Below are 6,000 nucleotides of genomic sequence, written 5' to 3' on the forward strand. Positions count from 1 at the left end.
AAACAAATCAGCAAGAAAAGAACAATCCCATCAGAAAGTGGGCAAAGGACATGATTAGACATTTCTGAAAAGATGATATACAAACAGCCAACAAACGTGAAAAAATGCCCAACACTACTAATCATCAGGAAATTACAAATTGAAACCACAATGAGATACCACCTTACTCCTGCAAATAATGGCCATAACTAAAAAGTCAAAAAACAGTAGATGTTGGCATGGATGTGGGGAATGCTGGCACACTGCTGGTGGGAATGTAAATTAGCACAACCACTATGGAAAATAGTATGGGGATTCTGTAAAGAACTAAAAGTAGAACTGCCATTCGATCCAGCAATCCCACAACTGGGTATCTACCCAAAGGAAAAAGAGTCATTATATGAAAAAGACACAATTTGCAATTGTAAACATATGGAACCAACCTAAGTGCCCATCATACAGCATACAGATAAAGAAAATGTGGCATATATACACCATAGAATACTTCTTAGCCATAAAAAGGAACAAAATAATGTCTTTTGCAGAAACTTGGCTGGAGCTTGAAGCCATTATTCTAAGTGAAGTAACTCAGAAATGGAAAACCAAATATTGTTTATGTTCTCACTTATAAGTGGGAACTAAGCTGTAAGGATGCAAAGGCATGAGTGATGTAATGGACTTTGGGGACTCAGTGAGGGAGGTCTGGGAGAGGGGTGAGGGATAAAAAACTACACATTGGGTACAGTGTACACTGCTCAGGTGACAGGTCCACTGAAATCTCAGAAATCACCACTAAAGAACTGATACATGTAATCAAAAACCACCTGTGTCTGAAAAACTATTGAAATAATAGAAGTAAATTGGATAGGAATAAAAAAAGAGGAATCTAGCTAGGGTTTTCCAAAATTAATCATATACCAGAAAGGTGAAAGAGATAACTTCAGAAAAAGTCCACTTACTCAAAAGGAGAGTAGATTAATTCATTAATTTTATATTTGAGTGCCTGCCATGGGCCAGGGATGCATTTGTGCATCCTTGCCCATGTACCAGCTCATAAAGTCAGATACAATGTTAAAGAAAAAAATACTCATGACACTTTTTAAAGATTTTATTTAGTACTATCAAATAGGTATAGGAACCACTGTAATGGAGTTTTGTGGAGGCGAAAGATTGGGCTCAATTGCAGATACACCAAAAAAAAAAAAAAAACTGGGAATTTGGAGTCGGGGGTCAGTGGACGGAAATTGCTAAGAAGAAACATCAGGGGTAAAGGGATAATCTGGCTGAAATGACCCAATAGTATTCTTGCTGAGGACAGGCCAGGATGATCAGACATCACCTGGAGGATGGTGGGGAATACGAATCTGATCAAATATCGAGGGTAATCAGATACGGAGGGTGGAGAGTTCTGGTAAAACTGACTTTGCAGGATTCTTGCTAAAATTGCACAATGCAGACAGATATGGAGACATAAAAGTTGAGGCCTAGTTGGGAAGAGGGTTTAGAGGAGCATCACTAGAGTTTGGTTAAGGAAAGAATCTGTCAGTAGCCCCTGCCCATCCTAGTGGGAGATGATTGTAACCCGTGCTGTGAAAGGAAGGTCCATAATATTATGAGTACATACAGCAGGGGATCTGACCTGGCCTGGAGATCAAGAAGGTTTCTCTGAGGAAGCTGGGATCTCAAGGAAGGATAAAAGGGGACAAGAGGGAGAGTGGAGAGAGAGGAAGTTCCACTGTGAGACTTTGAACATAATGTGAGGAGTAGAACCCATTATTGGAACTGGAGGAGATGTGAGTACACAGAGCAAGGAGGAGAGTGGTAGGAAGCAGCAGCAGGAAGGGGGCATGAAACAGACCGTGAAGGGTATGGTGGTGGGTGGTGATCTGATCACATTTTCATTTTCAATGCTATCTCTAGCTGTAAAATGGAAAAAAAAAGATGGAGACAAATGCCAGAGAAAGATCAGGTGGTACTAGAGAGAGAAGGTAAATTCAAGAGATATTTAGTAAATAAACTTAATGTCACTTAGTGATGGGTTTAATAAGAAAGGAAAAGTGAATCATAGGTTTTTGGATTTAGATCTGGGTGAATGGAGGTGCCATTGTAATAGAAAATAATGGAAAAGGCCCAGGTTTGTGGTTGGGAAATTTCTATGATTTTTCTTTTAGCCATGTTGAATTTTAATGCCTTTAAGATGTGGCAGGAGATTTAACAGATTTTAAAATGTGGCATATGTAATTCAGATGTATAGCAAATATTGTCTTTATTTTCCATAATTGATTCTATCTTCCTCATAGACTCTTCCTGTTAGCACGGGTCCTGGAGTAAGTTGACAGCTAATATATTTCTGTTTATCTTCTGGTTGAAATAGTATCTTTTCATTTTATTCAGTCTCTTTGAGGTAAATTCAGTCTTTGAGATTTCTGCTCCTTCTTCCCTAGGCCTCCTAAGATTATGTCCAGATGTAGGGTTCAAAGGGGTTTCTGTGAGATGGCAGCAATGGGCAGAGGAGCGTTGGACTCTCACACTGATTTCTGGTTATCTCTGGGCTTTGGCCTAAGGATGGCCAGTCAAGTCTAGACCCATGATATTCCATGAAATGTAACTCATCTCTTTAGCCCCTGGGGCCATGACACAGGCCTCCATTTCCAAAGTAAGTTTAAGTATCATACATTCTATGAGTGTCTCAGGAAATTCTTGTTTCTTCTTTTACCATAGCACCATTTACATTTTTTCTACTTTCAAGTGTTAGATTATATTCTGACTTCTACTTCTTTCCACCACTACCAGTTAGAGAATTTACAAGGGTAGGGACTTTGGTCAATTTCTTTTCTGCATCTGAGCTCTGAGCATACTGCCTGTCATAATAGATACGTAAAGAATACTTACTGGATTGAATTGAAATGGGATCTCTTACTTCCCAAAGCTTGTTGGCACAAGTCTGAGGTACCAAAATTATTTCCATGTGCTGTTTCATTTTTTTAATGCAAAATCGAGTTTATTTTGTGATGCTGACTGGTATGGAGAAGAAATAGGGCAATCTGAATGAAAGAAAACTTCTTGTGACATTGGAAACTCTCTTAAATCTCTTTTGTCTCATCCTGAAATAGTTACCCCCTTTTGTAAGCATTAAACAGCAATTCTTATCCATTGTCCAGTTCAGAAGAATCATGGCTTAAGAATAGCAATGTCTCAAGGACCTTTTGAGCCCTGAGTTGGTGGGTTAGGAATTTAGACAGGATTTTTTGTGGGAAATGGGTAATCAGAGGTACAAAAAGAAAAGGCTTCCACGGCCTTTTGGTTTCCTGCTGCATACCTTATTGTAGAAATTTGCATGCTCTATTGTTTGCAAAAGCAAGAAAAAGGCAACAAAATAAAACTACCAAAAACCCAGAACTCTTGCCATCTTAATTCCTGGTACAAGTTCTCCCCTCCTGACAGGCTTTGGCAATAATGAAACACTGAATCTCAGCTCTGGGAACATTTTATAGATGATCTAGACTATAGGTTCTAGAATCTAGACTCTAGACCAAGTCAAAGAAAGTCCTTCCTTTTTCTGTTCACTAAATTGTCCCCAGAATATGAGTGTATTTAGTGCAATGGGAGCTCGATACATGTTTAATGAATGAGTAAGTGAATGAATAAAATTTCTTTCTTTGCAGTTGAGAAAGCATCGGTTGAGAAAGGCCAGGGGACTTGTGTAGGGTCACACCATTTGTTCGTGGTAGGGCAGGTGAGGAACCACGGTCTCCTGATATCTCATTTGCTGCACTTCAAGTTACACAATAATATTTCCTGCAGCTTAAACCACAGAAGCACTCACCCTTGAGTGCTGTAATAGGTTTCTAGAATTTATTTAAACTATAAAAAAACACAGGACGAATGGTTGTTTTGGCTCACGTAATGGATCAGATATCTAGGAATGCCAAAAGCATATTTATTTACTCACAGGTAGCAAAAACATCATATAATTCTTTTTGTGGCTGTCCAGGCAATGTAAATTTTTTTTTTCTGTTCCAGTAAAGTGTACATTGATTAGAAATTATTGTTGTAAAAAGACCACCACTCAAACAGAGGGTCTGCACTAGGCAAGATATATGAAACCCAAAGTGCCTGTTAGGGTGCTGTGAAAATGTACGCCTTCCTTTTATTTATTTTTTTAAAGATTTGTTCCAGGCCGGGCGCGGTGGCTCACGCCTGTAATCCCAGCACTTTGGGAGGCCGAGGCGGGTGGATCATGAGGTCAGGAGATCGAGACCATCCTGGCTAACAAGGTGAAACCCCGTCTCTACTAAAAATACAAAAAATTAGCCGGGCGCGGTGGCGGGCGCCTGTAGTCCTAGCTACTCGGGAGGCTGAGGCAGGAGAATGGCGTGAACCCGGGAAGCGGAGCTTGCAGTGAGCCGAGATTGCGCCACTGCAGTCCGCAGTCCGACCTGGGCGACAGAGCGAGACTCCGTCTCAAAAAAAAAAAAAAAAAAAAAAAAAAAAAAAAAAAAAAAAAAAGATTTGTTCCATGCAGGAATAGAAGCCTTTTTTGTGTGTGGTCATATTGCTGAGAATCATCTGGTAAATGAGCCAAGAAGAGAGAGCAAGCAAATAATCTTAATCACTTGGGAATATAAGAATCAAACATCACATTGTGTGCAGTAATGAGGAGAATACATTTTAGACATTGGTGCAAAAATCTAACTTCTATCTTTTTGCTATAGCTTACTCAATTTGAGCTATAGTATGGATTGGGATTAAAAGCTCTAAGTTAAATGGTGGTGTAATTATGTGTTAACATTTCTTATATATAAGTTTATTTACATAGCATATTTGGAATGGCTCTATTTTTAATTTAGTATTGAATCGCTGCACATTTGCAAACTGCTTCAGATGCACTTTCTGAAAAGGTGCTGTTCCTTGGGGCTCCCTGGAGGTAAAATCTCCATAGACTCTATAAAGCACACGTGGCCAATAATTGTTGCTCCTGATGGAGGGAAAGTTCCTTTAGCAATGGAAAGAATAATCTTCCAGACTTTTATTAAAATAATACTAGGGAAATACCTTCAATCACATTGTCTTGTTAGGTAACATCTCTTGCATATGGCTATGTATATAGTTTTTGTGCAATAAACATTAGAACAAAACTTTAAAATCATAAAACTTTATGATCTTTATGTGCTGTTAAACAAAGTTTATGATATACCTTTATGATCTTTATGTACTGTTAAACGAAGTTTATGGGAGGCTGTTGTTTTGTGCTAAGCTCCTGTATTAGGCCCTGGCACACCAGACCAAACCAGAATGGAGCCACTTGTGCTAAGTGCCATGTAATCAAGCTGAACCTTGAAATGGGCCAATTTTCAAAAATAAATAAATAAATAAAATAAAATAAAATAAACCATGGGATTCCAGTCAGCCTGAGTCAGTGTAATATGGAAGTCCCCTCTGTTAATGCTGTAAGGAAAGTTACCGTGAAATGACCAATCTGCTATTTGTCCACTGTTTCTGCTTTCTTTTTATTTTATTTTATTTTATTATTTTTATTTTCTTAATTTTCTTTTTTTTATTTTATTATTATTATACTTTGTTTTAGGGTACATGTGTATAATGTGCAGGTTAGTTACATATGTATACATGTGCCATGCTGGTGTGCTGCACCCATTAACTGGTCATTTAGCATTAGGTATATCTCCTAATGCTATCCCTCCCCACTCCCCCCACCCCACATCCCCAGAGTGTGATGTTCCCCTTCCTGTGTCCATGTGTTCTCATTGTTCAGTTCCCACCTATGAGTGAGAACATGCGGTGTTTGGTTTTTTGTTCTTCCGATAGTTTACTGAGAATGATGATTTCCAATTTCATCTATGTTCCTACAAAGGACATGAACTCATCATTTTTATGGCTGCATAGTATTCCATGGTGTATATGTGCCATATTTTCTTAATCCAGTCTATCATTGTTGGACATTTGGGTTGGTTCCAAGTCTTTGCTATTGTGAATAATGCCGCAATAAACATACGTGTGCAT

Source organism: Homo sapiens, chromosome 9 (genome assembly GCF_000001405.40).
Source record: "Homo sapiens chromosome 9, GRCh38.p14 Primary Assembly".
NCBI classification, from domain to species: Eukaryota; Metazoa; Chordata; class Mammalia; order Primates; family Hominidae; genus Homo; species Homo sapiens.